The 17996-nt window shown below is 39.5% G+C and overlaps 1 long non-coding RNA gene across 3 annotated transcripts in view, besides 1 other annotated feature; it reads right to left on the reverse strand.

Annotated features, from left to right (window-relative positions):
- CKMT2-AS1 (CKMT2 antisense RNA 1) overlaps nucleotides 1-17996 on the reverse strand; it is a 64005-nt gene that overhangs the window by 38780 nt on the left and 7229 nt on the right. The gene's annotated exons all lie outside the window — the stretch shown is intronic.
- Nucleotides 15473-15673: a silencer, noted in NCBI's record as "peak5313 fragment used in MPRA reporter construct". NCBI's record gives its function as "represses an SCP1 promoter by STARR-seq MPRAs in K562 erythroleukemia cells {active_cell/tissue: K562}" and the evidence as "EXISTENCE:reporter gene assay evidence [ECO:0000049][PMID:32103011]".

The raw sequence follows: 17996 nt of genomic DNA on the forward strand, positions 1-17996 counted from the left end.
TGACAATTTCGATGAAATGAGAAAATTCCTTGAAAAACCATCTGACAAAAACTGAAAGATATGATTTGGATTCGAAGAATTTACCCTATTACTTAAAAAACAAAAAACTTCTCACAAAGAAAACTCTAGTGATCTCTTTCAGTGAAATATTCGAAACATTTAAGAAATAACACACTTAGACAAACCCTTCTAGAGAACAGAAAAAAAAAGTTATATTTACCAACATATGATGGTTTTTTTTTTTCTTTTTCTTTTTTCTTTTTTTTTTGAGATGAGTTCTCGCTCTGTCACCCAGGCTGGAGTGCAGTGGCACAATCTTGGCTCACTGCAACCTCCACCTCCCAGGTTCAAGCAATTCTCATGCCTCAGCCTTCCAAGTAGCTGGGATTACAGATGCGCGCTACCATGCCCAGCTAATTTTTGTATTTTTTACTACAGACAGGGTTGCATCATGTTGGCCAGGCTGGTCTCGAACTCCTGGTCTCAGGTGATCTGCCTGCCTCAGCCTCCCAAAGTGCTGAGATTACAGGCATGTGCCACTGCACCTGGCCTTGCCATTTGTTTTTCTTTTTCTAGACAGGTTCTCTGTTACCCAGGCTAAAGTGCAGTAGCAGGATCATAGCTCACTGCAGCCTCAAAACTCCTAGGCTCAAGTGATCCTCCTGTCTTGGCCTCCCAAAGTGCTGGGATTACAGGCTTTAGACACTATGCCCAGCCCCAATTTATAACTTTGATAAACAAGCCTGACAAGTGTATTACAAGGAATAAAAATGGCAGTACAGACTCCAACATAAATGTAAATGCAACAATTAGAAAAAAAAAAGGTGGGAGGAGCCAAGATGGCCGAATAGGAACAGCTCCGGTCTACAGCTCCCAGCGTGAGCGATGCAGAAGACGGGTGATTTCTGCATTTCCAACTGAGCTTTGAAGAGAGAAGTGGTTCTCCCGGCACACAGCTTGAGATCTGAGAACGGGCAGACCACCTCCTCAAGTGGGTCCCTGACCCCCAAGTAGCCTAACTGGGAGGCACCCCCCAGTAGGGGCGGACTGACACCTCACATGGCCGGGTACTCCTCTGAGACAAAACTTCCAGGGGAACCATCAGGCAGCAGCATCTGAGGTTCAACAATATCCACTGTTCTGCAGCCACCACTGCTGATACCCAGGCAAACAGGGTCTGTAATGGACCTCTAGCAAACTCCAGCAGACCTGCAGCTGAGGGTCCTGTCTGTTAGAAGGAAAACTAACAAACAGAAAGGACATCCACACCAAAAACCCATCTGTACGTCACCATCATCAAAGACCAAAGGTAGATAAAACCACAAAGATGGGGAAAAAACAGAGCAGAAAAACTGGAAACTCTAAAAATCAGAGCGCCTCTCCTCCTCCAAAGGAACAAAGCTCCTCACCAGCAACGGAACGAAGGTGGACGGAGAATGACTTTGATGACTTGAGAGAAGAAGGCTTCAGACGATCAAACTACTCCGAGCTACAGGAGGAAATTCGAACCAATGGCAAAGAAGTTAAAAGCTTTGAAAAAAAATTAGACGAATGGATAACTACAATAACCAATGCAGAGAAGTCCTTAAAGGACCTGATGGAGCTGAAAACCAAGGCACGAGAGCTACGTGACAAATGCAGAAGCCTCAGCAGCCGATGCCATCAACTGGAAGAAAGGGTATCAGTGATGGAAGACGAAATGAATGAAATGAAGCGAGAAGAGAAGTTTAGAGAAAAATAAAATAAAAAGAACCAAACAAAGCCTCCAAGAAACATGGGACTATGTGAAAAGACCAAATCTACGTCTGATTGGTGTACCTGAAAGTGACGGGGAGAATGGAACCAAGTTGGAAAACACTCTTCAGGATATTATCCAGGAGAAATTCCCCAATCTAGCAAGGCAGGCCAACATTCAAATTCAGGAAATACAGAGAATGCCATAAAGATACTCCTTGAGAAGAGCAACTCCAAGACAAATAATTGTCAGATTCACCAAAGTTGAAATGAAGGAAAAAATGTTAAGGGCAGCCAGAGAGAAAGGTCGGGTTACCCACAAAGGGAAGCCCATCAGACTAACAGCTGATCTCTCGGCAGAAACTCTACAAGCCAGAAGAGAGTGGGGACCAATATTCAACATTCTTAAAGAAAAGAATTTTCAGCCCAGAATCACATATCCAGCCAAACTAAGCTTCATAAGTGAAGGAGAAATAAAATACTTTACAGACAAGCAAATGCTGAGAGATTTTGTCACCACCAGGCCTGCCCTAAAAGAGCTCCTGAAGGAAGCACTAAACATGGAAAGGAACAAGTACCAGCCACTGCAAAAACATGCCAAATTGTAAAGACCATCAAGGCTAGGAAGAAACTGCATCAACTAATGAGCAAAATAACCAGCTAACGTCATAATGACAGGATCAAATTCACACATAACAATATTCCCCTTAAATGTAAATGGGCTAAATGCTCCAACTGAAAGACACAGACTGGCAAATTGGATAAAGAGTCAAGACACATCAGTTTGCTGTATTCAGGAGACCCATCTCACGTGCAGAGACACACACTGGCTCAAAATAAAGGGATGGAGGAAGATCTACCAAGCAAATGGAAAACAAAAAAAGGCAGGGGTTGCAATCCTAGTCTCTGATAAAACAGACTTTAAACCAACAAAGATCAAAAGAGACAAAGAAGGCCATTACATAATGGTAAAGGGATCAATTCAACAAGAAGAGCTAACTATCCTAAATATATAGGCACCCAATACAGGAGCACCCAGATTCATAAAGCAAGTCCTTAGTGACCTACAAAGAGACTTAGACTCCCACACCATAATAATGGGAGACTTTAACACCACACTGTCAACGTTAGACAAATCAACGAGACAGAAAGTTAACAAGGATACCCAGGAATTGAACTCAGCTCTGCACCAAGCAGACCTAATAGACATCTACAGAACTCTCCACCCCAAATCAACAGAATATACATTCTTTTCAGCACCACACCACACCTACTCCAAAACTGACCACATAGTTGGAAGTAAAGCACTCCTCAAGCAAATGTAAAAGAACAGAAATTATAACAAGCTGTCTCTCACACCACAGTGCAATCAAACCAGAACTGAGGATTAAGAAACTCACTCAAAACCGCTCAACTACATGGAAAATGAACAACCTGCTCCTGAATGACTACTGGGTACATAATGAAATGAAGGCAGAAATAAAGATGTTCTTTGAAACCAATGAGAACAAAGACAAATGTACCAGAATCTCTGGGACACATTCAAAGCAGTGTGTAGAGGGAAATTTATAGCACTAAATGCCCACAAGAGAAAGCAGGAAAGATCTAAAATTGACACCCTAACATCACAATTAAAAGAACTAGAGAAGCAAGAGCAAACACATTCAAAAGCTACCAGAAGGCAAGAAATAACTAAGATCAGAGCAGAACTGAAGGAAATAGAGACACAAAAAAACCCTTCAAAAAATTAATGAATCCAGAAGCTGGTTTTTTGAAAAGATCAACAAAATTGATAGACCACTAGCAAGACTAATAAAGAAGAAAAGAGAGAAGAATCAAATAGACACAATAAAAAATGATAAAGGGGATATCACCACTGATCCCACAGAAATACAAACTACCATCAGAGAATACTATAAACAACTCTACGCAAATAAACTAGAAAATCTAGAAGAAATGGATAAATTCCTGGACACACACATCCTCCCAAGACTAAATCAGGAAGAAGTTGAATCTCTGAATAGACCAATAACAGGCTCTGAAATTGAGGCAATAATCAATAGCTTATCAACCAAAAAAATTCCAGGACCAGATGGATTCACAGCTGAATTCTACCAGAGGTACAAACAGGAGCTGGTACCATTCCTTCTGAAACTATTCCAATCAATAGAAAAAGAGGGAATCCTCCCTAACTCATTTTATGAGGCCAGCATCATCCTGATACCAAAGCCTGGGAGAGACACAACCAAAAAAGAGAATTTTAGACCAATATCCTTCATGAACATTGATGCAAAAATCCTCAATAAAATACTGGCAAACCGAATCCAGCAGCACATCAAAAAGCTTATCCACCATGATCAAGTGGGCTTCATCCCTGGGATGCAAGGCTGGTTCAACATACGCAAATCAATAAATGTAATCCAACATATAAACAGAACCAAAGACAAAAACCACATGATTATCTCAACAGATGCAGAAAAGGCCTTTGACAAAATTCAACAGCCCTTCATGCTAAAAACTCTCAATAAATTAGGTATTGATGGGACACATCTCAAAATAATAAGAGCTATCTATGACAAACCCACAGCCAATATCATACTGAATGGGCAAAAACTGGAAGCATTCCCTTTGAAAACTGGCACAAGACAGGGATGCCCTCTCTCACCACTCCTATTCAACATAGTGTTGGAAGTTCCGGCCAGGGCAATCAGGCAGGAGAAGGAAATAAAGGGTATTCAATTAGGAAAAGAGGAAGTCAAATTGTCCCTGTTTGCAGATGACATGATTGTATATCTAGAAAACCCCATCGTCTCAGCCCAAAATCTCCTCAAGCTGATAAGCAACTTCAGCAAAGTCTCAGGATACAAAATCACTGAACAAAAATCACAAGCATTCTTATACACCAATAACAGACAAACAGAGAGCCAAATCATGAGTGAACTCCCATTCACAATTGCTTCGAAGAGAATAAAATACCTAGGAATCCAACTTACAAGGGATGTGAAGGACCTCTTCAAGGAGAACTACGAACCACTGCTCAATGAAATAAAAGAGGATACAAACAAATGGAAGAACATTCCATGCTCATGGGTAGGAAGAATCAATATCGTGAAAATGGCCATACTGCCCAAGGTAATTTATACATTCAATGCCATCCCCATCAAGCTACCAATGACTTTCTTCACAGAATTGGAAAAAACTACTTTAAAGTTCATAAGGAACCAAAAAAGAGCCCACGTCGCCAAGTCAATCCTAAGCCAAAAGAACAAAGCTGGAAGCATCACGCTACCTGACTTCAAACTATACTACAAGGCTACAGTAACCAAAACAGTGTGGTACTCATACCAAAACAGAGATATAGACCAATGGAACAGAAACAGAGCCCTCAGAAATAATGGCACATATCTACAACTATCTGATCTTTGACAAACCTGACAAAAACAAGCAATGGGGAAAGGATTCCCTATTTAATAAATGGTGCTGGGAAAACTGGCTAGCCATATGTAGAAAGCTAAAACTGGATCCCTTCCTTACACCTTATACAAAAATTAATTCAAGATGGATTAAAGACTTACATGTTAGACTTAAAACCATAAAAACCCTAGAAGAAAACCTAGGCAATACCACTGAGGTCATAGACATGGGCAAGGACTTCATGTCTAAAACACCAAAAGCAATGGCAACAAAAGCCAAAATTGACAAATGGGATCTCATTAAACTAAAGAACTTCTGCACAGCAAAAGAAACTACCATCAGAGCAAACAGGCAACCTACAGAATGGGAGAAAATTTTTGCAACCTACTCATCTGACAAAGGGCTAATATCCAGAATCTACAATGAACTCAAACAAATTTACAAGAAAAAACCAAACAACCCCATCAAAAAGTGGACAAAGGATATGAACAGACACTTCTCAAAAGAAGACATTTATGCAGCCAAAAGACACATGAAAAAATGCTCATCATCACTGGCCATCAGATAAATGCAAATCAAAACCACAATGAGATACCATCTCACACCAGTTAGAATGGCGATCATTAAAAAGTCAGGAAACAGGTGCTGGAGAGGATGTGGAGAAATAGGAACACTTTTACACTGTTGGTGGGACCGTAAACTAGTTCAACCATTGTGGAAGTCAGTGTGGCAATTCCTCAGGGATCTAGAACTAGAAATACCATTTGACCCAGCCATCCCATTACTGGGTATATACCCAAAGGATTATAAATCATGCTGCTATAAAGACACATGCACACGTATGTTTATTGCGGCACTATTCACAATAGCAAAGACTTGGAACCAACCCAAATGTCCATCAATGATAGACTGGATTAAGAAAATGTGGCATATATACACCATGGAATACTATGCAGCCATAAAAAATGATGAGTTCATGTCCTTTGTAGGGACATGGATGAAACTGGAAACCATCATTCTCAGCAAACTATCGCAAGGACAAAAAACCAAACACCGCATGTTCTCACTCATAGGTGGGAATTGAACAATGAGAACACATGGACACAGAAAGGGGAACATCACACACCGGGGACTGTTGTGGGGTGGCGGGAGGGGGGAGGGATAGCATTAGGAGATATACCTAATGCTAAATGACGAGTTAATGGGTGCAGCACACCAACATGGCACATGTATACATATGTAACAAACCTAAACGTTGTGCACATGTACCCTAAAATTTAAAGTATAATAAGAAAATTTAAAAAAAAAACCAGTACACACATATATGAATATCCAAGTGAATGTATGTAAAATCCAAATAAAGATTTCATGTAACAGAAGTTACCCTTACAATCTGAGATGCACTCTGATACTTTATTCTATACTGTCTTAAACTCTTCCAGTTTTAAAAAATTCTGATTGTAATACATTAAATGGATTTCACAAGACATTAAGGGGATAAAATTCAATTTCAAAAACATAGACTTAATTACCTGGCTCAATAATCATTAAATTCCCTCCTTCATTCTTTTTATTCTTCATTCAACTCTAAATACTTTGTTCCATTTTATTCTCCATGTTTTTTGATGAAAAGTTTATGGTTATGCAAATAGTTGTTTTTCTATATGTAATGTGTCATTTTTCTGACGGCTTATAAGATTTTCAGCAGTTAATGTGCCTAGGTGATTTTCTACATATTTATACTTGAGTTTCACTGGGCTTCTTATGTTGATTTATATCTTTTACAAAGTTTGGAAAGTTTTTGGCTATCATTTCTTCAAATGCTTTTTTCGGCCTCATTCTCTCTTTTAGGACTCATAATTAGACATATACTGGACCTACTGCTATTGTTCCACAGTACTCTGAGTGTCCATTTTAAAAATAATTTCCCCCCTTTTCTGTTTATTCAATCATTTCCTTTTCTTCAGAATGAATAATTTCTATTGTTCTATCTTTAAGTTTCTAAATTCTTACCTCTCTATTCTACCTCTGTTCTCTCTATTCTGCTACTGAGCTCAACCAGTGATCTTTTATCATCACAGATATTGTAACTTTTACTTCTCAAATTTTTTTTTTTTTACATATTCTATTTCTCTGCTGAGATATTCCATCTTTTCATTCATTGTAAACATCTTTGCCTTTATTCATTGAGCACAGTTAGAATAGCTGGTATAAAGTCCTTGTGTTATATCTTTTGGTCACCTTGTTCATCTCTGGGTAAACCTGTTGGCTGTCTTTTTCTTGTCATATTTTCCTAGTTCATTCTCTGTCAAGTAATTTTGGATTGTATCCTGGACATTGAGAAAGTTATATTTAGTATAACCTGAGTTCTACCGTATTGCTTTAAAAATGACTGAGGTATTTGTTTTAGCAGGCAATTACCTTGATTAGACTCAAACTGTGGTCTCACCTGCAATGACTGCAAGTTCAATATACAGTTAAGTTACTTAAGCCTCAGTGGTTGTTTTGAAGCTGCTTCATTCATGTGTAGTTCAGGGGTCAAGTAAAGATTTGAGCAGAGTTCATCCAGAGAACCTGGACCTCCACTTCTCTGGGTCTCTCCTCTAGAATACCCCCTTCTGGTGGCTATGCTTATTCCAGGCTCCATTTCCTGGTTTACTAGGCCAGAAAAGAGCTTGGTTCTCTACTGGAATCTTAGCCACTCCGTGCTGTACAGTATCTATGGCACATGCAGGCTAATGTTGCAAAATATGAAATGTACTTTGTGCAATCTCAACCTCTAAGATTTGAATACTCTCCAAAAGCTACCTGCTTTTTTCCAATCTCCAGAGTTCTTGTATAATTTTAAAAATTTAATCAGAGTTTATAGTTCTTATCTGTAGGAGAATGAGCCTATTGGGAGCATACTGCACCATAGAAGTAGACCTTTTTCTCCTTCCAAGACTTTTAAAGAAAACTGATTCTATTTTAATAGGAAAGGGGAGGGAAAAATTAATCTTCTGACAAAACACTTTAAAGTCATCAATAAATTAATTCCAAATGAAGGAAGAATACAATTCTTTTCATTGGGATAAGTGCAATAAATTACAATATCTGTGGAAAGCCAACTATATCCACAATTACATCAAATATAGTTGGCTGGGCACAATGGCAGATGCTTGTAATCCCAGCACTTTGGGAGACCGAGGTGGGCAGATTGCTTGAGGTCTGGAGTTTGAGACCAGCCTGGTCAACATGGTCAAACCCCATCTGTACCAAAAATACAAAAATTAGCTGGGCATGGTGGTGCACGCCTCTAATTTCAGCTACTCAGGAGGCTGAGGCATGAGAATTCCTTGAACCTGGGAGGCAGAGATTGCAGTGAGCCAAGATTGTGCCACTGCACTCCAGCCTGGGCAACAGGGCGAGACTCCGTCTCAAAAAAAAAAAAAAAAAAAAAAAAAAGGACAAACTACAGCTATGGGCAAAATCTGACTCATCATAGCCACACATTCATATACATATTGTCTGTGGCTGCTTTTGTACTACAATGGCAGATCTGAGTAATTGCAACAAAGACCATATCGTCCACAAAACTCAAAATATGTAGTATGTGGCTCTTTACAGAAAAAAAAAAAAAAATTGTGTCAATCCCTGGTCCAAACACTCCACTTAAAAGGCAGAGACCATTAGGGTGCGGAAAAAATGTTAAAAACCAATGATATCCTGTCTACAGGAAACTCACTTTAAATATAAAGACACAAAAAGTAAAAGGATGAAAAAAGACATACCATGAAAATACCAATCAAAAGAAAGAGTGTTCTATTTTATTACTAAAGTATACTCCAGAAAAAAAGCATAAAGGGGGGCATTTCATAATTATGCACATGTCAAATTCATTAAGACTTAAACATTCTAAATATGTGCTCATCTAATAACAAGTTTCAAAATATATGATGCCAAAACTAACAGAACTGTAAGAGGAAATAGACAAATATGCAATATTTCTCTTTTAGAATTCCATAGAACAAGTAGACAAAGTATCAAGAAAAATCCAGGAGACTTAAACAAGAATATCAGCTGTGTTTGGAGCTGCCAAGAAGCAGGTACCAAGACAGGATTTAACACGAAAGTGATTTTTGTGGGAAAGGATAAGAAGAGGTAGATACTTTCAAATCAGTATGCTAGACTGAGAGGGAAGGCGGCAAGAAGGGGTAGGAAAAGTCCTAGACCAAGAAAGGTTCAACTAGGCCAATGGATTCAGCCGTCTTCACACCTGCTGTAAGAGTTTTGCATCTCCTAAGGCAAGAACGGACTTTACTCAGTTATGAGCTGAACGTAGACTACAGGAAGCCTGGCCTCAGCATCAACACAATGGTTCATCCAGAGGGGCAGTAACTGAGGTTATTTGTCAATTATGGTCCCTGCAAGAGGGAATTTCAGTTATATATTTTCATGGCCACCACAGTCCACTGTGCATCATACAAATTTACTTCAGGGAAAAGCTCTTCCATGACTTCCATGGGTCTCACATCCTAAGGAACATCTTAGAAGAGGGAGGTTAGTGGTATGAACTAAAGCCCCATTGCTGCTACTCATCTTCAACCTCCTCCATTATCTATTCTAAATTTCCCTCACTTTCATCTATCACCTTGATAGACTTTGGTGGCTTACTTCATTGTGTAAACCAAACATTCAGCCCTGAGCCTGCAATTACATGCTGTCAGGCCAGGGTTGTATCACATCTCTGTCGAGTTACAACAGGACAAATTAACAGTAAGCACCAGGAGGCAGCCAAGTGTCTTATTCCCCACTGCTCCCTGCTCTATGTAAAAGCAGCCTTTTTTTTTTTTTTTTTTTTTTTGGTTTTTTGTTTTGTTTTGTTTTTGAGACAAGGTCTCACTCTGTTGCCCAGGCTGGAATGTAGTGGCACAATCATAGCTCAATCTCCTGGGCTCCAGCAATCCTCCCACCTCAGCCACCCGAGTGGCTGGGACTTCAGGTATGTGCCACCATGCTTGGCTAATTTTTAACTTTTTTTTTTTTTTTGATAGAGATGAAGTCTCACTACATTGCCTAGGCTGGTCTTAAACTCTGACCTTAAGTGATCCTCCCGCCTCAGCCTCCCAAAATGCTAGGTTTATAGGCATAAGCCACCACACCTGGCCCGCTCTACCTTTCTGCTCCCAAAATTGACTCCCCCTTTCACAACAGCAACTCCTCTTCTCACCTGTAGTTCCAAGAGAAAAAACATTTCTTTATTCCTTTTGATTGTCAAAAACTATTTCATACCAACTTTTTGAAATTTAAAATTGAATCAAGCATAATTTTTAAGTGCAAATCAAGGATATATAGCTGTTACTCAATTTTAATGGGGAAAAGCTTTGTTATGATAGAATATCTAATGTATTTGATAGTCATTCATTTCTTATCTATGCAGGGAACTATCCAGGAGCTTAAAATTTTATTGGGAGACAGAATACATGAGGGGGCCTCAAAACCCTCAAAAAAAAAGTTAAGGTCAGTTAATAAGATTTCCATCTAAAAATTAAACTAGAAAAATCTGCACATAGTGGAGATTAGCCATCTGTAAAATGAAACCAAAGAACCATCCAGGAGGCAAGATTGGAATTGGAAGATTCAGAAAAGGATGCTGAACCAACTTCATTTTACCCTTTCTATAAAAAACACTTTTTTTTTTTTAACAGAGAAGGCAAATGGTTATCATGGAACCTAAAAAAGGGGAATTAAGAGATCATTACTGGGCCAGGAGCGGTGGCTCATGCCTGTAATCCTAGCACTTTGGGAGGCCGAGGCAGGTGGATCAACCTGAGGTCAGGAGTTTGAGATGAGCATGGCCAACATGGTGAAACCTCATCTCTACTAAAAATACAAGAAATTATCCGGGTGTGGTGGCAGATGCTTGTAATCCCAGCTACTCGGGAGGCTGAGGCATGAGAATCACTTGAACCCAGGAGGCAGAGGTTGCAGTGAGCCGAGATCGCACCACTGCACTCCAGCCTGGACAACAAGAGTGAAACTTCATGTTAAAAAAAAAAAAAAAAGAGCGAGATCGTAACTGATGAATAAACCTTCAGCACCATCAGAGAAAGCTCTATTCACCCTAGGGGTTAGACTGTTTGACCATGTTCAACCAATCACTTATCTGAGTGCTGTGAAAACACCCACACCAGAAATGAAGGATTAAAGAGGTATACCATAATTAATCATGTATTCATTCTGCAAACATAATCTATATCTGAAAATGAGTAAACCTAGTTTGAGGTATGTAATTATGAAACTGTAAAAGCAGGATTTAAGAAGAGTTTTTTAATAGCTTCATGAAACTTACGAGTTATAGTGGAAATCCAATGAACTGATATTATCATTTACTTTTTACTATATACATCAGATTCCCTATTCTCCAAAAGTGTATTTGACTCATAAGCTGTATCTATTTTCAACCTGAATGCCAAATTTTGGCATCATCACAAAATCTTTGTTTGCATAAAACTTATTTTTGGCATAAAAGCAATTATGAAAATAGAAAACTCTTTTAAATAATGTAGATGAGGCCAAAAAGGAAGACACTGGGCTCTTGTAAAAACTGTACTGCTGAAGACACGTGCAAACATGCATGAAACAGATGTAAATATAGACACAATTTGTGAACACTGCAGACAGGGCCTGAATTACTTGGAACTCATCAGGACTGATGAGGCACTAACTGCATTCAGGTGCACTTCAATCAGAACTAGATTATACCATTAAAATTAACGAGCCATAAGAAGACTTTAATGAATAAAAGAGGACTGGTATTAAAATCTTTTACACATTTTACTCATTTGGCAACAATGTGGTTAACAGTGCAGTCACATCTCTTTGTGGTAGACAGGCAAAAAATTTAATTATTCAAGTTTTTTTTTTTTTTAAGATGGAGTCTCGCTCTGTCGCCCAGGCTGGAGTGCAGTGGCACGATCTCAGCTCACTGCAACCTCTGCCTCCCATGTTCAAGCAGTTCTCTTGCCTCAGCCTCCCGAGTAGCTGGGATTACAAGGGCCTGCCACCACGCCTGGCTAATTTTTGTATTTTTGGTAGAGACGGGGTTTCACCATGTTGGCCAGGCTGGTCTCAAACTCCTAACCTCAAGTGATCCGCCCACCTCAGCCTCCCAAACTGCTGGGATTACAAGCGTGAGCCACCGCGCCCAGCCTTAAGATGTTTTTTAAGTAACACACTCTCTGGCACATCGCTTCGATATTCACTTAAATGGCCTATTGGAGGCCGAGGAGGGCGGATCACGAGGTCAGGAGATTGCGACCATCCTGGCTAACATGGTGAAACCCCGTCTCTACAAAAAAAATACAAAAAAAATTAGCTGGGCGTGGTGGCGGGCGCCCGTAGTCCCAGCTACTCCGGAGGCTGAGGCAGGGGAATGGCGTGAACCCAGGAGGCGGAGCTTGCAGTGAGCAGAGATCGAGCCACTGCTTTCCAGCCTGGGCGACTGAGGGAGACTCTGTCTCAAAAAAAAAAAAAAAAAAAAAAAAGAGATCAACTTATCTGTATCTGTCTTTTGCCATCCTGTTATTTCTTAAAATAGAAACAAAACATCTTTCTCTGATCCCAAATTTTCTCATTATACTGCTGAGATGTTGTTTTTTCCCTCTTTTAAGTTGTTAGTGCTTTTCTAAGCCAATAAGGCCCCAATTAAAAAAAAAAAAACTCTTTTCTAGGAATATATTCCCCATTCCATGACAGGGATGGAAAGTCCAACCATCTTCAAATAGGGCTACTATAACATTCTGCAATATATAAAGTTGGCAAGGAAAGATGAATATTTGTCAGGTATCAATGTGTACTTTATTATTAGCCCAGCAAGTAATAGAAATATTAGACAATCTCAGGAAGATAACATGGCCATATCTCTCAGCACAGGGAAGGAAACAGACATTTAAAATTCTGGATCCACAAAACCTCACATATCAATATTAATCTTGAATGTAAATGATCTAAATGCCCCCACTTAAAAGGCGCAGAGTGGCAAGTTGGATTAGAAAAGCAAGACCTATCCATCTGCTGTCTTCAAGAGACCAATCTCACACATAAGGACACCCACAGACTCAGTAAAAGGTTGGAAAAAGATCTATCATGCAATGGAAAACAAAAGAGCAGGGGTCGCTATTTTTATATCAGCTAAAACAGACTAAACCAATAACAGCAAAAAAAAAAAAAAGGACAAAGAAGGGCATTATATAATGATAAAGGGTTCAATTCAACAAGAAGATGTAACTATCCTAAATATATATATGCACACAACACTGGGGCAACAAGATTCATAAAACAAGTACTTCTACATCTACAAAAAGACTTAAGACAGCCACCCAGTAATAGTGGAAGACTCCAACACCACACTGACAACATTAGAAAGATCATCAAGGTAGAAAACTAACAAAGAAACTCTAAACTGACATTTGACATTTGACCAACTGGATCTAATAGACATCTATAAAATACTTCCACCTATCAACCACAGAATATACATTCTTATTTTATGTTCTGGGGTACATATGCAGGATGTGCAGGTTTGTTACCTAGGTAAATGTGTGCCATGGTGGTTTGCTGCACCTGTCAACCCATCACCTAAGTATTAAGCTCAGCATGCATTAGCTATTTTTCCTGATGCTCTCCCTCCCCTAGCCCCTGACCCTGCCTACAGGCCCCAGTGTGTGCTGTTCCCCTCCCTGTGTCCATGTGTTCTCATTGTTCAACTCTCACTTATAAGTGAGAATATGCAGTATTTGGTTTTGTGTTCCTGCTTTAGTTTGCCACAAGACACATTCTTATATGCACATGGGAACATACTCCAAGATCAACCACATCCTGGGCATAAACCAAGTCTTAATAAACTAAAAAAAAAATCAAAATCATACCAACCATACTCTCAAAGTATAGTGGGATAAAAACAGAAATAAATGCCAAGAAGATCGCTCAAAACCACACAATTACATGGAAATTAAACAACTTAGTCCCAGAGGACTTTTGGGTAAACAAGAAAATTAAGGCAGAAATCAAAAAATTCTTTGAAAGAAATGAAAATAGACAACATACCAAAATATCTAAGATACAGCAAAAACTGTACTTGAAATGTTAGAAAAATCTCAAATTAATGACCTAACATCAGACAGAGGAACTAGAAAAATAAGAACCCCAAAGCTAGCAGAAGAAAAGAAATTTTAGTTATTTCAGAGCAGAACCAAACAAAATTCAGACCCAAAAGTCCATACAAAGAATCAACAAAACCAAAAATTGGTTTTCTGAAGGATAAAAAAGATCACAGACCACTACCTAGATTAACAAAGAAAAAAGAGAGATGATCCAAATAAGCACAGTTAGATATGACAAAGGTGGCCAGGCATGGTGGCTCATGCCTGTAATCCTAGCACTTTAGGAGGACAAGGTGGGTGGATCACTTGAGCCCAGGAGTTCAAGACCACCTGGGTAACATGATGAAACCCTGTCTCTACAAAAGTTAGCTGGGCATGGTGGCATGCACCTGTAGTCCCAGCTACTTGGGAGGCTGAAGTGGGAGGATTACCTGAGCCTAGGGAGGTCAAGACCTCAGTGAGCCAATGATCATGGCACTGCATTCCAGCCTGGGCAAAAGGGTAAGACCCTGTCTCTAAATAAATGACAAAGGTGATATTACCACCAATCCCACAGAAATACAAAAGATACTGAGAGACTATTATGAACACCTCTATGCACACAAACTAGAAAATCAAGAGGAAATGGACACATTCCTGGAAACACACAATCTCCTAAGATTGGATCAGGGAGAAACTGAAATCCTGAATAGACCGGTATCAAGTTCTGAAATTGAAACCAGTGATAAAAAAAATCTATAAGCCAATAAAAGCCCCAGACCAGATGGATCCACAGCAGAATTCTAACAGACATACAAAGAAGAGCTGGTACCAATTCTACTGAAACTATTAAAAAAAAAATCAGGGAAGAACTCCTTCCTAAATTATTCTATGAAGCCAGCATCACCCTGACACCAAAACCTGGCAAAGACACAACAAAAGAAAAAGAAAACTATATGTCAATATCCCTGATGAACACAGATGCAAAGATCCTGAACAAAAATACTAGCAAACTGAATACAACAGCACATCAAAAAGTTAATTTACTACGATCAAGTAGGCTTCATTCCCAGAAAGCACAGTTAGCTCAACATGTGCAAATCAATAAATGTGATTCAGCACATAAACAGAAGTAAAACAAAAACAATATAATCATCTCGAAAGACACACAAAAAAGCTTTTGATAAAATCTAATATCCCTTCATGATAAAAATCCTCAAGAAACTATGCATCAAGGTGTTGTGGCTCCTTCACTCCCATAGTTCAGTGAGTTCCAAGTTCTTGTCCCATGACCAAGAGGAATGAGGTTCACGGACACCAGAGGGTAAGTAAGGCATAGATTTTTATTAAGTGACAGGAAAAGCTCTCAGCAGCAACAGGTGACCTGAAAGTGGGTTGATGCCTATGGGCTTGTCCCCAGAGGTTTCTGTCCCCTCTTTCCAGGGGCGTTTTTCTCATTTGCATCTTGCACAACCCTCTATGTCCTGGTTGCTTCCTGGTCCCACTTCTTTCTGCACAGGTGTGTTCTTCTCCAAAGCTACTCCATCTTAGTTATTACCCATAAACATCACAGAAAAGCCCACATGGCAGGGGGGTGAAACTACCATGCAGATGTCATGTTAATGACTTATATATAATGAGCTGGGTCAAGTTAAGGATGTTACGTTTATTTACTGCACCTGTGCCTAAGTTGGGACACTCCCTTCTTGGGCAAACATCCTGGTATAAGAGGAAGCTCTTCACCACACTTCCACCTGCTTGCTACATAACACGGGCAGTGCAGTTGTGGTCCCATAAGTGTTGTTCTTCTCCAAAGACCTTCCCTAACTGCCTAGCCAGCCCCTAACTGCTCCTCTCTCAAAAGGAACATATTCCAAATAATAAGAGCCATCTATGACAAACCCACAGCTAACATCATACTGAACAAGCAAAAACTGGAGAAGTTCCCTTGAGAACTGGAATAAGACAAGAATGCCTTCTCTTACCACTCATATTCACCATAGTACTAGAAGTGCTAGCCAGAGCAATCAGGCAAGAGAAAGAAATAAAAGGCATCCAAATAGGCAAAGAAGAAGTGAAACTATCTGTCTTCATGGATGATATGATTCTATACCTTAAAAACCCTAAAGCTGGCTGGGTGTGGTGGCTCATGCCTGTAATCCCAGCACTTTGGGAGGCCAAGGCGGGAGGATCATGAGCTCAGGAGTTCAAGACCAGCCTGACCAACATGGTGAAACCTGGTCTCCACTAAAAATACAAAAAAAAATTAGCCAGGCGTGGTGGCCCGTGCCTGTAATCCCAGCTACTCAGGAGGCTGAGGCAGGAGAATCACTTGAAGCCGGGAGATGGAGGTTGCACTGAGCCAAGATTGCGCCATTGCACTCCAGTCTGGGTGACAGAGCGAGACTCCATCCAAAAACAAAAAAAAACAAAAAAACAAAAAACAAAAAACAAAGCTGTCATCAAAAACCTCCTAGAACTGATAAACAACTTCAGTAAAGTTTGAGGATACAAAATCAATCTATAAAAACAGTAGCATTTCTATATTCCAATAACATTCAAGTTGAAAGCCAACTCGAGAATGCAATCCCACGTACAACACATACACACACACACACAGAGAGAGAGAGAGACAGAGAGAGAGAGAGAAGTACCTAAGAACATATCTAACCAAGGAGGTGAAAGGCCACTACAAGGAGAACTACAAACACAGATGATACAAACAGATGGAAAAACATTCCATGCTCAGATTGGAAGAATCAATATCATTAAAGTAGCCATACTGCCCAAAGCAATCTACAGATTCAATGCTATTCTTACCAAATTACCAATGTCATTTTTCACAGAACTAGAAAAAAGCTATTCTGAAATTTACATGGAACCAAAAAAGAGCAGGAACAGCCAAAACAATCCTAAGCAAAGGGAACAAAGTTGGAGGTATCATGTTACCTGACTTGAAACTATCCTAATAAGTTACAGTAATCCAAACAGCATGGAACTGGTACAAAAAGAGACAGAGACCAATGGGAATAGAATAGAAAAACCAGATATAAAGCTGCACAACCATCTTATATTCAAGAAAATCAACAACAACAAAAAAGCAATGGGGAAAGGACTCCCTATTCAATAGTGTTGGGATGGCTAGCTAGCAACATGTGGAAGAATGAAACTGGATCATACCTTTCAAAAATTAACAATAGATAGATTAAAGATTTAAATGTAAGACCTCAAACTATAAGAATTATAGAAGAAAATCTAGGAAACACCATTCTGGACACTGGCCTTGGAAAAGAATATATGCTAAGTTCTCGAAAACAACTGTAACAAAAACAAAAATTGGTTTAAGTGGGACGATCTAATTAAACTAAAGAGCTTCTGCACAGCAAAAGAAACTATCAACACAGTAAACAGACAACCTACAGAATGGGAGAAAATATTCACAAACTATGCATCCAACAAAGGTCTAATATCCAGAATCTATAAAGAATGTAAACAATTGAACAAGCACAAAACCCCTTTAAAAAAACAGGCAAAAGACATGAACAGGCACTTCTCAAAAGAAGATATACACGTGGCCAACACATATGAAGAAATACTCATCATCACTATCAGCAGAGAAATGCAAATTAAAACCACAATGAGATACCATCTCCCACCAGTCAGAACGGTGATTAAAAAGTCAAAAAACAACAGGCTGGGCACGGTGGCTCATGCCTGTAATCCCAG

The sequence above is a fragment of the Homo sapiens genome, chromosome 5 (assembly GCF_000001405.40).
Source record: "Homo sapiens chromosome 5, GRCh38.p14 Primary Assembly".
Lineage (NCBI taxonomy): Eukaryota > Metazoa > Chordata > Mammalia > Primates > Hominidae > Homo > Homo sapiens.